At 33.1% G+C, this 18,097-nt stretch overlaps 1 long non-coding RNA gene across 1 annotated transcript; it reads left to right on the plus strand.

Annotated features, from left to right (window-relative positions):
• The first annotated feature begins 344 nt into the window (after window positions 1-344).
• On the plus strand, window positions 345-2,048 carry LOC124900831 (uncharacterized). The gene is made up of 2 exons (XR_007058422.1): window positions 345-420; window positions 1,676-2,048. It is a non-coding gene; the product is annotated as an uncharacterized LOC124900831 (long non-coding RNA).
• The last annotated feature ends 16,049 nt before the right edge of the window (window positions 2,049-18,097 follow it).

Genomic DNA, 18,097 nt, shown 5'->3' on the forward strand with positions numbered 1-18,097 from the left:
AGAAGTGCTTAATATGGCTCATAATTATTCTCCAAGTTTGCTGAAATTATTTGTACAGGAGAGTGACATGATCTTTCTGTCTTGCTCATGTAGGGGGTTTGCTAGTGGGAAATTAGTGATGAAAATAAAATACCAAAATGTCAAATCATTTATGTTCCTAAAAGCTGAAATAATTTCAATTTACGAACCAAGACAAAGTAAGGCAAAGAAATCTTTACAAATGTGTTTTTTTCCTTCATAGCATTCATAGCTCTAATGCATTTACAAGATGTTAAATCACATAGTTTTAAAGAAATCAGATTGAAATGGGAAACAATTTTCTAACATATTTGAATCTACTTCCAGGACTAATGTAGACACTCCCCAGAAACTTTGTATATCAATTCAGCTATTAATGGAAGTTGACATGCCATCATTCAGGTTGGTACATTGCACCAATGCTGATTGTACTAGCTACATGGGGGAAATATGAAGAAAAGCAGTGATTTAGGATTAGTTTTGCCTGAATAACCTTTTATAGTCCTTCCCAATATCATGGCTCAGTGCAAATATATGAATTCCTGATTAAAACTGGCTTTCAGCAATACAAAATCTGCACAAAATAAGGAAGTAAACTATTTCAATATCTCAATATTGAAACATTGATAGTGCTCAATAAATAAATGTCTTTGGAATGAATGAAGAGGTAGACAACTAATATTAAAGCAACACAAAGTTACATGACATAATTTACCAGGGAGGTGGACCATACACTGATAATTAATGTGTCTGCATTATTATTGTGATACTTCACTAACGTATAATTGTCCATCTCAAATAAATAAGTTGTTACTTATTGAATGAACCTCATTCATTAAGTAAGACTCTTTAAGTAGTTGGCACTTGTAGATGCGATCACAAACCCCAGTCAAAGTCACTAAATATATGCTGCAATGTTCTATGGTCAACATGGTTATGATGGAAATTATATTTCCTCGGAACCTCTTTTCTATATGATTTCAACTTATAAAGAATTATTAAATGGGAAACAGCAGTGAAGAAATGGGCATTAGGTTTGAGATGAAAATATTGCCTTGGAAATACACATAGAGTGATGCAGATTTTTCCCAATTTGTCTCTGCTCTTAACTGCTCTGCATCCAACTCTACTTCCTGACTGTTAGCTATGCTAACTAAGAGAAACTCAAGTTCATTCTCCAAATGATTTGATGCAAACTTAAGAAGTAAGGTAACCACAAAGAGCAAAGAGCCAACATGATTCCACAGACTTCAACACCAGCCCCATTTATGGTGCTGCTACTCTAAAAGCTAGATGTAATGAGCATCAATATTTCCTGAAAATTCCATACAATTCTATTTCTCTAATCTCTTTTTGGGGGCCTTTATTTCCCTGGATCCTACTTCAATTGTGTAACATCTGACTCCATTAGCAAATTCATTGGTTCATAGTTCTTATGATAGTTCTGCTTGTCTTATTTTATCCAGCCAAAGATAATCACAATGATATCTCCCATCTTCATGCTCAAGAAGTGGAAACCATTTCTCTGCTCTCTTGAATCAGAGTCTAGGAGTTGGGCCTATGACTGCTTTGACCAGTAGAATAGGAAGAAAGGGATGCTGTGCCATTTTCAGGAGCAAGGCTTAATTGGTTTGGTATCTTTTGATTTCTCTTACAGAACACATGCTGTAGAGAAGCCCGTCTCCATAAAACAGTCTTGACTACTCTGAGATTTTCATGCTGTGCAGAAGACTAAGCCGACTGTATGACGAAGAAATGTTAAGAAAAAGAGCTGATCAACCAATTTGGAATCACCGCCGCCTTCCCAGCTGAGGTCCCAGACACTTGAACTGGTCCAGTTCATCCAAATTTCTGACTATTCTAGACCCAATTGACATTTGATAACAACTACATGTGATATTTGGAGCAAGAACTTCTGTCTGAGACCAATATACTCAAAGATCCATGAGAGACAATAATATAGTGATGTTTTAAAATATCCAGGCATGGAATTTCTTGTTAATGTAATATTAAATAACAAAAGGAATGAATTACAAGCGCTGTGTTCTTCCTTGGTCCCCTGCTTTCACCACTGTAGCTCATTTGATAAGGGATTCAGCAATTGCTAAGTGAAGTGGAGCAACCCATTCAAAGTACAAAACGTTGTTTAACTTTTAATAATTTCTTTGCTGGGTTTACTTTCATAATACTTTTCATAATAATTTCATTGCTGGGACCATTTGCTGTGCAAGATTTACAAGCATTATTTAGACTATAGTGCCCAAACAAAACAGAAACTATTTTTTAAAGCCATAAATGACTGAGGTCCCACAGGAAAAAAAAAAAAGATATTTTAACAAATATGCACTGTGTCTCCAAATTTTGTTATAAATACATTTTATATTACTATGTTTTGTATTATCAAATACCGTCTAGAAAGTGTGTTAATTTTTATTTGCTCCTTCATGCTTCTTGACAGTTGGAGAAGGCTGGAGGAATGTGTGACTCAGAGACTTCGGCAACAAGAGTTTTGGCCTTTCAGCAATTACTCAAAATTTACTTGAAATTCACTGCTGATGAGATTTTGTTGGTACTACAGGGCAGAAGGGAGCCTCAGTAAAGTAGTTATTGCACAGACATTTACTTCAGTGGTGGTAATTCTTGCAACAATAAGACAAAATTTTGAGTTCCTCATTTACTCCTTATCAGTATTTTGTGTTTGTATTAATAAATTACTTAATCTCTCTGAGATTTAGTTCGCTGTGGGCAAAATAGGGACTGAATCCTACATATATATTTATTTATTTTATTTTCTTATTTTTTAAACTTCCTTCCTTCCTTTTTTCCTTCCCTCCCTCCCTCTCTCCCTCCCTCCCTTCCTCCCTCCTTTCTTTCTTCTTTCTTTCTTCTATGCCAAAGAGTTTGGTATCCAAAAAATTCTCAATGAAAATTAATATCCTTTATCTCTTAACACCCACTGTAGCTCCACACTCCTCCTTTTCCACCTTACTCCATTTCTGTTTTTTTTTTAATTTTTTTCTAGCTACATTCAGATTTCTGGTTTTCTAATTGAATATTTTATAATACTGTATCTGTTTCTTTCTGAGTATGAGCAACTGCTATATCCTAACTATTTATTGGCTTTGACATCTTCTACCTTTCTCCATATGATAATAGCTATGATTAATTGAACAATTATTACATGTGAAGCATTACCTTAATGCAGGTATTATTAATATGGCTGTTTTACAAATGGGAATTTCAAGGACAAAGAGTGACTAATTTCACATAACTCAGAAAGCTAGTAAGGGGAAGAGTCTTTGGGACTAATTAAATTAGTCAGACAGCATTCTCCTTCCTAAGAGCAGGGCTTTAAAACTTTTAATAAAAAGACAAAATTTACATTTTGTTTATACCAGTGTGTCTCAAAATGTGCTCCATCATCAACTCTATCAGAATTTTCTTAAATGCTTCTTAAAATGCAGATACTTAGGCCCCAAACCAGTAATGGAAAAGAGAAGCTTAAGGTTGCAGTGGAGGAGTCCAAACCTTTCATAGAATTTCCCAGTGATTCTTGGAACAAAAATGTTTGAGAGCCTTTGTATTAGAAACATACGGAGTTGTTTAAACATAACAATGGGTCACACAATGTCCCTGACTATTTAAAATATATCTACATTTGTTTTTTTAAATATTATAAGGCCCAGGGCTATAAAAATAAATGCAATAGTTAGGGTTTGCATGTTGTCCTTCCCCATTCTTATAATCCCTATGATTCTGAGGTGTTTTCTACTCCACATTCAATGTGGTTTTCTATAATTATTGATTCACTAGATTGCCTTTCTCATAATTATTTACTGTTTAACAACAGCATATTTAATAACAGAACTTTTGTATCTCCTTTCTCCAATTCATATGTTGCAGCCCAAATATCTCGTAGCTCAGAATGAGACTCTCTTTGAAAGTAGGCCCTGTAGAAAGGTACTTAAGGTAAAATGAGGTCATATGGGTGAGCCATAATCTAATATGGCTGGTGTCTTTATGAGAGGATATTAGGACACAGGCAACACAGACTGAGGTTAAACGCAGACTGAGGATGTGGTGGCACATCCAGAAGGTGATCATCTGCAAGCCAAGGTGAGAGGCCTCAGTAAAAAACAAACCTAGCAATACCTTGGTTGGGGACTTCTAGTCCACAAAACTATTAGCAAATAAATTTCTTGTCTAAGCCACCTAGTATGTGACATTTTGTTATGGCAGCCCTATCAAACTCATACAATAACTAGTTATATGTGTGTGTGTGTGTGTGTGTGTGTGTGTGTATATATATACACACACATATAGAATGTATAATATATAATGTGTATAATATGTATATATGCATATATGTGTGTATATATGTATATAATGTGTATAATATAATATGTATTTATATATAATTACATATTTATATATAAATATGTATTTATATATAATTACATATTTATATATAAATATATATTTATATGTAATTTAATATATATACATTTATTTATAAAATCTTAAAATTATAAAAATTATAATTTGTAAATATATATTTATATATAAACTCATACAAGAACTAATGTATGTGTGTATATATATTACATATATTTAATTATATATAATCATATATACATAAAATTTCTGTTTAAAGTAATTTAAGCTATGGATGAACAGATGAGAAAATTTGGTACCTCTTACTTATTTCTGTGAGCTTCTGTAATGTATCTGTCCCTTGTAATATAAGTTGAATCTTCCTTTGAGTCTTGTTCCATGCAGTCATCCAGTTGTATTAGAAACATATAGAGTTGTTTCCTTATATGCTATATTCAGAGAAGAAATACTAGTAGAAACCTGAATATTGACACAGCCTTTCTCCACTATGTTTTATACTATTCAACATTCTACTTAATAGCTATCATGTTCTATCTTTTCTACCTCTACTGGACGCTGAATATACAAAATTCCTTTGAAATAATCAGATGTGCTTGTGAAATAGCAAAGTATGATAGATTAGATTATCGTTGCTAAATACTCAATTATTTCCCCACTTGCAGAGAAGAATATTTTCTTTGGCCCATTAATGTTATTAAACATTTTTTTTTGCACTGGTCTATAGGGAATGAAAAAGAGAACCCCACTCTTGGCAATAATTTCTGAATTCTCCATTGCCTAAATGACCAATTATTTATTCTCACTCATGAATCCCCATGTAAACTTGTGATGAGTTAATATAGTCCAACTTAGCTGGGAGGCTGATTTCCTACTTTGCTGGGCTTCTTGCCATTTTTTGGAAGATTTTGGCGCTTAATATTTATTATTAATACATTAATGTTATATTTAATATTTATTATTAATTTACGTAAAAATGTATATTATAATTCCTCAAATCTACATATGCCTAAAGAATATTAATTGGTAACATCATTCCACAAAATTTTATCAAATTTGAAATATTCACATTTATGAAAATACTAACTCAGTTATTCAAAAAATCAAGAAGACTTTAAATTCATTTCAAAAGATATTTATATTATTTTTAGAATTACATCATGCTACGTCAATATTGAAAACTTTAAAAACAAAACCCTAGATTTGAGTTGTCTTAAAGAGTTAGAGTGGAAGACAAAAGAAATAACGTAATTTTATCTTAATGCTTAGAAAATACAGGACATAAAGAATGACTAATAATCTAAGAATGAATAGAAACAAGATTTGAAATAAAAATAAGCAATAATATGGATTTGAATACAAAATTAAGAAATATTAATATTCAAAGACAATTTTATTTTTATTGATATGCATACAATTAGAATTAATATAAACTTAATACACAATGATAGTACCATAGTATAATGAATTCAGCGTAGATAGACGTGACTATAGGAGTTTATAAATTTTAATGAGCAAAACATGTGAATTCAATTGTTCATTTATTTCCTGTTTCATTTAACACATAATTATTGACTCTCACTTTCTTGTGGTACTGTTTCAGGCACCTGGGATCTGCAGCAACAACATAACTAAATTACCTGGCCTCGTGGAGTGTACTTTTTAGTGGGGTAAAATAGAAAATGAGTAGGTAAATAAGATAATATCAGCCATCGTCATGGCTTTGAATGGTAAGTTGTGTGGGAACATTATTGAGATATATATTTTTTAACAATACATTGTTTTAATAATTGAAAAAATCAGATATTTAATATCTAACTTTTTCACAATTATGCTGGATTACAAGCAGATCTTCTAACTATGGCAGTAACATCCCTGCAGCATGCTTTAGCTTCACCAGTGCAAGTTTATGGGTCTTACATATTTCATCTGATATTTAAACACACTCATTGTAAAACAAGTAACACTTGTTATTAAAATGTTGCATTATGTGGAATGTACAAAAGCGTTGTCAACCCTATGCCATCAATAATTATGTTTTCTGGGAATTAAGTAACTCCAAATATTCTATATGGGAAAAATATCTGTGACTGGGAGGATGAAACAAACAGGAAAAGAAAGCAAAATTGTCTTACAGCTTGTTTCTTGTAGCTTTTTAGTTTTTTGTCTCATTTTAGTCCCATTACTCTTGTTAAACTTGGTGAGCACTGATACACAAGAATATTTCTTGAATTGAAATTGTCCCATATAGGACCATTTAATTGCTGTCAAAAGAAATATCTTTGTGTTCTGTATTAAAACCAAAACAAGATTTTTATGGGGCTAATAAAAATATATTAAAGAATCACATGCATGCAATAAGTATATTCAGAGTTAAAAAATAAGACAGGTATATTGAATGCTTACTTAATATATCAAAAATTGTATGATATGGGCAAAAATAGGCATCAAATTACCTTTACCATCTGGAGTTCACCACTAAAACTATGTGAAAAAAATCACAAGTTAATTCATGTTTAAATAGAATATATCCTCCTCTCATATTCCAAGAAAATAATATTTTCAAAACAAATTATCTTCATGTCTATTCAGTTCTCAAAAGTACTTTGCTTATTCCTCTACATAAAATTTTGATGGAATGGTGTCATTTGCTAATTTTTTTTGTAAATGCCTGCCTCTGGCAAGGAGCAATTTAAACACAAAGGATACAATGAAATCTTAATATGTGTCACTAATCAAGGATGTACACAGGCAGTCTGTTTTTGAGAAGAACTGGTATAAACAGTTTGTTGCCTTAGGAAGACAGCAATCTGACCTAAATTAATATGAATTACCACAACATCATCAGAGAAACTGCCTTGTAATACAAACATTTCTATCTAGACCCCAAAGGTTCAGTCCATCCAACTGTTATGCTGTGTATACTCAGATTTATTCTCTTTATATCCATTTAAACAGCAATAATTGCTCTTTTAATTTCCCAAATTATTTTGCCCATGTTCTTTTTATGGTTGGCCTGTGGTGCTTTAAACATTTTTCAGAGGAAACTGTAGAATGTAGAAAGTATGTATATAAGTTTTGTTTAAAATTGTGCTAAAAATCAATATTATTTTAAGGACAAAGATAAAATTAAATATTTGTAATTATTATAATCTACAGGATACTCTCCTAAAATTGTTCTCCTATTCTTTCAAAGGCTATGTATGTGTATAATCATATAACTTTCAGCACTCTAAACATTGTTCACAGTGACCATCCGTTTAGTGGTTAAATCTCTTTATGTTTTTTAAAAGCTATTATTTGTTAAGATCATTGATAAAATATTTGTCAGAATTCTAGAATCTTGGAGATTATGGGACTTCTATAATTAATCTTGTAACCCATTGTTTTGCCATATGGATATGTGTTTAACAATTTCAGATAGTAGTCAATTTTTATTTAAAAAGTAAATTGAATTTTAATAATATTAAAAATAACTTTTAAAAAGATCTAACAAGTGGTCAATAATTCATAGGCATTGGAATGCTTCCTTATTATTAGAAAGAGGAAATGTTATTAGGAAACAATCACTCCTTATTTCATTAGCTTAGGTGATTTCTCTAGTATACAATTCCTAGTGTCATATTTATCTTGGATTTAAGACTTTTCATTTTGCTTTACATTTCTTCTTCTTTCTTTTCTCATTCAGGCAAGAGTTCTTCCCAAATATGACAAACTAATCACACCTTTAATGATTTGATGGTAATTGTGATGAGCAATAAAGACCTACTTTTAAGTTTATATATTATAAAATATTTTAAAATAAATGTTGTGGATGCCTATTTGCATTCCTTGCTTTACTTAATCTTATTTTATTTTAACACCAGGATTTAGTGTATGTGTTTTCTCCTCTAAAACATAAAAATCTATACTATCTGAGAATCATAATGTATATCTGTTTTAATTCATCTTTCCTTTCTATAGCCATTGCATAACATGGTCTTATGTTTAAAAAAAGATCATATAGAGCAGCAGTCCCCAACTCTTTTGGCACCAGGGACCGGTTACATGGAAGACAATTTTTCCATAGACAGGGGCAGGAGGTCGGCTTCAAGAAGATTCAAGCACTTTACATTTATTGTGAACTTTATTTCTATTATTATTACGTTGTAATATATAATGAAATCATTATACAACTCACCATAACGTAGAATCAGTGGGAGCCCTGAGCTTGTATTCCTGCAAATAGATGGTCCCATCTGGAGGTGATAGGAGACAGTGACAGATCATCATGCATTGAGATTCTCATACGGAGCGTGCAACCTAGATCACTTGCATGTACAGTTTATAATAGGGTTCACACTCCTAAGAGAATCTGATGCCACAGCTAATCTGACAGGAGGCAGAGCTCAGGAGGCAATGCAAGTGATGAGGAGCAGCTGTAAATACAGATGAAGCTTCACTCACCTCCTGTTGCTCACTTCCTGCTGTGAGGCCCAGTTCCTAACAGGCCATGGACCTCCTTTATATCAGGGATCCATGGCCCAAGGGCTGGGGACCCAGGTTATAAAGGATATATAAATGAATAAGTAATTGAACCAATGTGTAAATGAATCAATGAATACAAAACCAGACAAAAGTACAATATTATCTTTAAATTTTTATTTACATCTGTGTCACTTTTACTTATATATATGTGTGTGTGTGTGTGTGTGTGTATATATGTAGATGTCTGCACTTAATACACTAAAATAAATGCTAACGTAAGTTATTAAATTTTATCTCAAAATATTTCAATTGTTTTCCTTAATGTTTTTTATTGGATTTATTTTTTTAATCTTATTAAGCTTACTTGTGCTGTAAAGAAGAAAATACGTTGCTTGTATGACCACTATCATCAACAATTACATATTTAATATGTTATATGTCCTTAGGCAGTTGAAGATGCTAATAAGGGATGGACTGACAACATGACCTGTCTACTCATCTATTCCCTAATCAACATGTCATGTTTTCTCCACAGATCAAATAAGATGATTCAGAAAGAAGACTTTCTTTGTCAACTTTTATGACAAACTAGAATATATGATTTTGTATTATCTTTTTTTTCCTTCTCTGGACTCTAGGGAAGATGGATATTGAATTGACAAGACATGCACTTTAGGGATCAAGGCATAACTAAGCTGGATTATATACCTCTGGAGAGTACTTTGATTATACAATTTGATTACCTTTCAACTTGAATCTCCCAATCCACATGTTATCTAAATTAATCTTTCCTGATGGGCAGCTCATTTGGATTTAATCCCACTGTTTATACTGCCAAAGTCACATATTTGAAACACTTCAGGGTTTTAAGTTTCCAATTATTAATGATATCTTGAAAAATCTTAGAACTCCTTTCTTTTTCTACAACTAAAAGCCGTTATATAAAATGGCCTCATTCTGAGGCTTATTAATTTACAAGATTTTCACTAATTGATACATTCAACAATGAATAGGCCATTTATATCCTGAATATGCCCAGACTAAGTTTAATCTTGAGAATTATAAATTGCTATTCTTTCAACTGTTATTTATTGTGTACTAACTACATTTCATGCATTGTTCTTTCCGGCTTCTTTTGAAATGTTTTAATTAGATCACAATAAAATTGTTTAAATTAAATTTAAGAGATCTCTTAGCCATTTTTTAATAAGAGTCATTTGAAATAAAGATCTTAGGATATAAAATTCTAACCAACATACTCCTCTCCTCTTGTCAGGTTTTGCAAGCATACATATTCAGGTAAACTGGGGTCTCAACCGCAGGGATATTAAGTCCTTGGAGAGCTGGAGAACTGACATACTCTCTAAGTGATTTCCACTCTCAAATACACAGAGAGAAGTCAAGGACCTTAAGTAAAAGTTACTGTTCAATTTCCATCTCATGAGAGGATGTTAATAGATGTATCCACTGCATAAGAGTTTGCAATCCAAATATAGACTATTTTTCTATGCTTTGAGTACTTCAGCTAATCTTCACCATTGTCTACTTCATGCTCATTTTATTGAGGTCTAAATATTCTATGAGGGTTACCATGCAATAGCTAAGAGACATCATAGATGAACATTCTATTTATTTATTCTCTAAATTATTTTTGTAGTAAAAAACTTTTTTATAGTATCTTAAGATTATAGAAAATTTGTCAGAAAACACAATGCTAGATAAATTTCAAAACATTTCTAATAAAAATTTTATTTAGAGTTTTGCCAAGACAAAAAATTCAGAGGAGTACATTAGGTCTTAAGAATATTGCACATGAAATATATAATTTACATAGAAAAACAGAACAAATGGTTTTATTCCAATAGCTGTTGGGAACAGTCCCCCAAATCTGGCCATAAACAGGCCCCAAAACTGGCCTTAAACAAAATCTCTGCAGCACTGTGACATGCTCGTAATGGCCATGACGCCCATGCTGAAGGTTGTGGGTTTACTGGAATGAGGGCAAGGAACACCTGGCCCACCCAGGGCTGAAAACTGCTTAAGGTGTTCCTAAGCCACAAACAATAGCATGAGCGACCTGTGCCTTAAGGACATGTTCCTGCTGCAAATACCTAGCCAAACCCATCCCTTTGTTTCAGCCCTTCCCTTTGTTTCCCTAAGGAATGATTTTAGTTAATCTGTAATCTATAGAAACAATGCTTATCACTGGCTTGCTCTCAATAAATATGTGGGTAAGACTTTGTTAGTGGCTCTCAGCTCTGAAGGCTGTCAGCCCCCTGATTTCCCATTCCACACTCTATATTTATGTGTGCGTGTCTTTAATTCCTCTAGCACCACTGGGTTAGGGTCTCCATGACCAAGCTGGTCTCAGCAAATAGCCTCATCCCAATTTGTTGAAAAGTTTGGAAGAGATGATGCATGTAGGTTTGTTTCCATAGAAAAAAAAAGTGGTAAGATGCAGCCGGGCACTGTGGCTCATGCCTGTAATCCCAGCATTTTGGGAGTCCGAGGCAGGCAGATGGCCTGAGGCCAGGAGTTCAAGGCTGGCGAAACCCTGTCTGTACTCAAAATACAAAAAATTAGCTAAGAGTGGTGGTGGGCACCTGTAATCCCAGCTACTTGGGAGGCTGAGGCTGAGGCTGGAGAATTACTTGAATCTGGGAGGTAGAGGCTGTGGTGAGCCGAGATTGTGCCATTGATTTCCAGCCTGGGCAACAAGAGCAAAACTCCATCTCAAAAAAAAAAAAAAAAAAAAAAAAAAAAAAAAGAAAAAGAAAAAAAAGATCCAATCAAACATCTCATTCCAAATAAAATCCAGTAGGCTTCTCAACACCAAAAATTTACCTTGTTAGAGTCTCTTCGATTTCAGACTCTATCCAATGTCATTCTGTTTATTTTTATTTGCTCAGTTAATGACAAATCTGCTATTCATGCATGTTTCAAATGTCATATTGATATACAGATATATAATTTTATAGCATCATTGTGTGTTGAATTTAGAAGGTACCTTTGATAGGATTCTTTCTAATCTTTCCCTATGTTCATTGAAGACATTAATTTTGAAGGAAGGTTTTCTTCATGTAACACTTTGCTCTTCAAGGTTTTTAGTATCAATGGCATAAACATATATTGTTACAAACTTGAACATATGAGTCTCCATGATAGTAAACCAACTCAACAAAAATATCACTCTGAAAATATTTGTGTCCAATAATCCTAAAGTCTAAAAGTTTCAATTCACCAATTTATCTAATAAAGCACTAGATGAATAGAATTTTGGAAGTAGTAGCCTGAGGCCTAGGTTAAAATGTCAATCTTTAATTTCTTATTTTATTTTTTTTTGACTGTTATCTCTTTTCTGGAGGAACTACTTTGATAATCAAGGGTCTTAATGGTCAGAGCAGTTATATGTTCAACTCTTAAGCTATGAAATTAAGTCATCAATGCAGATCCCCAGTTTAAGCAATTACTACAATTGGGGCATTTGTTACATCACTTAATTTCTTACACCTCAGTTTAATCAGCTGACAAATGGATTGGATAATAACACTTACCTCATAAATGTATTATAAGGAATAAACACTTAAAAGTGTCCAGCATGGATTAGTAAAGACTCATTAAATGTTAGCTATGATTAATACTTATATTTTATTTAAATAGACCTGAGACATTGCATACACAATGAAGCCTATATAAATCTTTATGTTTCTCTTTTTGCCTTGGCTACCGGGAGGTGAAATTTTTTTAAATTATAGCAACTCAGTTCGATGCTATAGATGAGACTTAATTTTTTAAGCTACTGGGCATTGTATAAGTCTCTTTTTTAAGAAAAATTAATTCTCTGATTGTCCCTAGTCAGAGTTTTGAGGTAAGTCACACTGTGGTTGCAAACTGATGCTGGGACGAAGAGTAGAGGCTGAAACAGTGGCACATTGTTTGGGGAAAAGCCAAAGCAGAGGAGACATGATTTGAGGTAGTGCCCAAAGTCTCAGCAAGAACAAGCTGAATTTTAACCATCAGGAAAATATTGCACTCTCATGAATTATTTTTTTTAAATCAAAAAGAGTCAGAAATCCAGTAGAAACTGGGATTCATTGAAAAGTGAAAAGAAGTAAGAGTAAAGAAAATGGTTTTAAACATTTGCTGTACTGTGAATTATAATGGAGGCTTGAGACTCCTTTTATTAATAGCCTACTTTGCAGCATATAAGGAGATCGTTTTACTCAAATATTAATCATTGTGTACCTAATGTCAAATTTTATTCTCGCTACCCCTCTATCAATTCCGTGCCCTCTTTGAATGGGTTAGGCATTATCTTTACATATAACCTGTGATTCAAGAATTATATTATAGCCAGACCTTTTACTTTAAATCAACTATAAGCTATTTAAAACGTAGGCTTGGTATAAATAATAAAGTAAAATAAAATTAAGTTAGCCGTGTTACATAGCCACGAAAAAGCTAATGTAAATTCTCAGCATAGTAGATTGGTAGCATCAATAGTAGAAACTGTTTATTTTCTACCAGTTAGACCACAAATAAATTAATGAAGTCATTTATGGACAATGTATTTTCAATAAGACAATGTTAAGCTAGAAATGATATGCTATAAAAAGTAGGCTAGCGGGTTTTATAATATTGCCATATGTAAATCGTTGATGTACCTGAGGCAGAGACAACTAAATAGATAGTTAGAGGCTCTTTGGGAGGCAGCTTGAATATTCAAGATAGTATTAATGTATTGCAATGGTAAAGAGAAGAAAAGTGCTGCAAGGGTCTTAGAGCGAGGCAGCCTAGGTGAACATTCTAGGGCTGTCACCAACTTTTGCCTAATCCTGGGCAAGTCACTTCATTATCCTGAGCTTTGGTTTATTGAACTGTAAAATGAGGAGAGTAAAATAATGGCTAACTCACAGCACGATATAAGAATGAAATATCTTTATATATGTTTTAATATATAATTATTTGAAAGTTCATATGAGCAGTACTCAATGCATACCATTTATTATTATTCAATTTTAGTCAGGGATGCTGTTGAGTCACTTGCGGTAAACAGTTTAAATATTATCTAAGTTGTATCTTTTTGTAGATATTATGATGGGAAATTTCTAAAATTGTAATAAGAAAGAGACAGAAATTTGAATAACAGAGGCTTGATATTTGATAATTTGTTTCCCCAAGACTAGCCAAGCAGGGAAAATTCCAGGTATTCTGGCAACTCAGAAGGGGAATGTGGAATTTTCTGATTGAGTGAATAGGCATTAATATCATAGAGAACTGCCAAATGTAAAAATCAGGCATATTACTGAAAACAGAAATTCAGAATATTGTCACTGGTTCTTGACCTTGAATACATACTAGTTATCATTGGGGAAGTTTTCAAGAAACACACATACACACACACACATACACACACACACACACACACACACACACATTGGCTTAACTTCTACCATCCAGAATTTTGAATTTATTTTTCAGGAATGAAATCTGTGAAAGTGTGTATCCATCTTTACAATTAGATTTGAAAACCACTAGACTATGTCAAAGAGAAATTTGAATTTAGTGAGACACAGAAGATGACGAGAAGCAGAAAGAGAAGAGCTTGAAGTTGTGTCCTTTATTATTATTATTATTAATAATAATAGAATTTAGTTCTAGAGCAATTATGAATAAAGCTGCTATAAATATTTGGGCGTAGGCTTTTTATGGACATAAGTTTTTTTATTATTATACTTAAGTGTTAGGGTACATGTGCACAACGTGCAGGTTTGTTACATATGTGTACATGTGCCATGTTGGTGTGCTGCACCCATTAACTCGTCATTTAAAATTAGGTATATCTCCTAATGCTATCCCTCCCCCCTCCCCCCACCCCACAACACACCCTGGTGTGTGATGTTCCCCTTCCTGTGTCCATGTGTTCTCATTGTTCAATTCCCACCTATGAGTGAGAACATGCGGTGTTTGGTTTTTTGATGGACATAAGTTTTAAACTCCTCCTGGTAAATACCAAAGAGCACAATAGTTGGATCATGTAGTAAGAGGATATTTCATTTTGTAAGAAACTGACAACCTGTCTTCTATAGTGGTTGTTCTATTTTGCTTTCTCATCAGCAGTGAATGAAATTTCCTGTTACTCCACATCCTTAACAGCATTTAGTGTTTTGGATTTTGGTAATTATAATAGGTGTGTAATGGTATTTTATTGTTGAATTTGCATTACCCTAATGACATATAATGTGGAGCATCTTTTCTTATGCCTATATGCTATTCTTTCTACATTTTTGTTGCAGTGTCTGTTAAGGTGTTTGGTCCATTTTTTGGTTAGGTTGTTTGTTTTCCCATTGTTGAGCTTTAAGAGTTATTTGTATATTTTGGAAAATAGTCCTTATTAGATGTGTCTCTGGCAAATATTATCTCCCAGTCTGGAGGGTGTCTTTTTACTATCTTTCACTAAACGTAAATCTTAATGAAGTCCAGCATATCATTTCTTTCTTTCATGGATCATGCTGTTGATGTTTTATCTAAAATGTTATCACCAAATCCAATGTCATGTAGGTTTTATCTTGTATTATATTCAGATTTATAGTTTTATATTGTACATTTAGATCTGTGATTCATTTTGTGTTAATTTTTTGAGAGTGTAAAGTCTGTATCTGAATTCTTTTTTTGCATGTGAATGCCCAGCCATTCCAGTTTCATTTGTCAAAAACACTACCTTTCCTTCATTTTGTTGCTTTTGTGCCTTTCTAAAAGTTCAATTGACTATATTTTTGTAGGTTGATTTTTGTGTTCTGTATTTTGTTCCACAGATTTATTTGTCTATACCTATACCGATGCCACACTGTTTTTATTACTGTAGCTTTATAGTACATCTTGAGATGACATAGAATTAGTCCTCCAATATTTTTCTTTTTTAATACAGTATTGGCTATTATAATAACTTATTATTTGCCTCTCCATATAAACTTTAGAATCAGACTGTTGATATCCACAAAATAACTTGCAGGGATTTTAATTGGTCAAATCAGGAAAAACTTAACCTTGACAGTCTTGAATCTTCCTATACATGGACCTAGAAATCTCTGAATTGGTTAGTTGTAATTTGATTCCTTTTACCAGAGTTTTGTAGTTTTCCTCATATAGATATAACACATATTTTGTTAGGTTCTTATCATAGTATTTATTTTTGGAGATATGCTAATGTAAGTGATATTCCATTTTTAGTCTCTAATTCTAATTGTGCATTGATGGTATATAGGAAAGTGGTGGACTTTTGTAAATTAACCTGGTATCCTGTAATCTTAATATAATTGCTTATTAGCTCTAAGGCTTTGTTGTTGTTGATGATGATTCTTTTCAGAATTGTTTTCTTTAGAGACAGTGTCTTGCTCTGCCACCCAGGCTGGAGTACAGTGGCGCAATCATAGCTCACTACAGCCTCAAACTCCTGGGCTTAAGTGGGCCTCCCGCCTCAGTCTCCTTAGTATCTCAGACTATAGGTGTGCACCATCACAGCCAACTAATTTATTTATTTATTTTTGTAGTGATGGAGTCTTGTTGTGTTGCCAAGGCTGGTGTTGAACTGCTGGACTCAGGTGATCCTTCTGCCTTGGCCTTCCAAAATGCTAGGAAGGTGTAAGCCACAGCACCTGGCTCAGATATATATTTTTTTTTTACATAGACACTGACATCTATGAACAAAGACAGTTTTGTTTCTTTCTTACCAATTAGTATACCCCTTTTCTTCTCGTATTGCATCATTTAGGACTTCCAGAATTATACTGAAAAGGAATGGTAAAAAAAAAGACATTTTTGCGTTATTAGTGATCTTGGTGGGAAACATGTTAGTCTGTCATCATTATTCATGCTCTTAGCTGTAGGTTTCTTTTGTAAATATTCTTTAACAAACTGATGTAATTCCAGTCTATTAATCAATGTCTTTTATTGATCTAGTCAGTAAATATATTTTCAGGCCTATTTTATGTCAAAAAGCAATGTAGTCATTACAGATACAATGATGAGGAAAAGCACATTTTGCCTTGTTCCTCTAAGAGAGGCAAACATTAGAGTAATAAGGCACAGCCCAAATGGCAGTAATGCCTAAATAGAGAAGTACATGCTACTCTAGCACCTAATAACATCTGAATAATCTGAGGTGTTCAAAGAAAGTTTTTCTGAGAAAATAGGTTTTCTATGGACTTCATCTGAAGAGCAAAGAGAAACCATTGTTTAACCCATAATCATGAAGAATAAACCAGAAGGCAATATCAGTAGCTGAGGATCCCATTTAAAAACACTCAAGATCTGTAGTCAGCAAGCTGAAGGCCCAGGGAGGCTGGTGGTGTAGCTATAGTCCAAGTCTGAAAGCCTGAGAACCAAGAGAGTTACAGGTGTAAGTTGCAGCCTGAAAGTTGGCAGGTTCAAGATAAGAGAACTAACGTTTCACTTTGAGTCCGAAGACTGGAAACAACTGATGTCCCAGTTCAAAAGCTGTTAAGCAAGGAGAATTCCCTCTTACTCAGCCCTTTTGTTCTATGGATCCTCAATTGATTGGATAAGGTTTACTCACATTAGGGAGTACAATCCACTTTACTTTCTCTACCAATTCAAATGTTAATCTCATCCAGAAACATTCTCACAGACACGCTCAGAGTAATGTTAGTCTAACTGTCTGGGCACCCATGTAAGTAAAGGAAAAATTTTATGTGTCAGTAAAGATGACACATAAAATTAGCCATCATACAGGTTTATTGCCTTTCATGCATGAATGCAGAATCTCATTCTCTCTCCATCTCCTGCCTCTTTCTCTATTTATTTCCACCTCACCATTTTTTATAGAAGTGTTTGTGTTGACAATTAAGTGAAAGTTTTTCTTGTTTATGCCTTAGGTCAGAAATAGTTCAATTCATTCTAACTACATTAAAAGTATAACTTGCATAAGAATTATAAGGAAATAAACTCCAACAATTTATTTTATTGGTGAGAAGAGAAATGTGAGAGAATAAAGCCTTTTATTTGTATTGTCATTAGTAGAAAAATATTATTTAATTAATTAATAGTAAATAATTGCATTATTTAGAAAACAAATAACATATATTAACTGTCTTCTAAATTGGCTAGAATGTCACAGAGTGTGATATTTTGCAGTGACTATAACACCAAAAGTACTAGCTTGGAAGTCATCATGAAACATAAACATATATATAACTCACTC

The sequence above is a fragment of the Homo sapiens genome, chromosome 4 (assembly GCF_000001405.40).
Source record: "Homo sapiens chromosome 4, GRCh38.p14 Primary Assembly".
In the NCBI taxonomy this organism is placed as follows: Eukaryota; Metazoa; Chordata; class Mammalia; order Primates; family Hominidae; genus Homo; species Homo sapiens.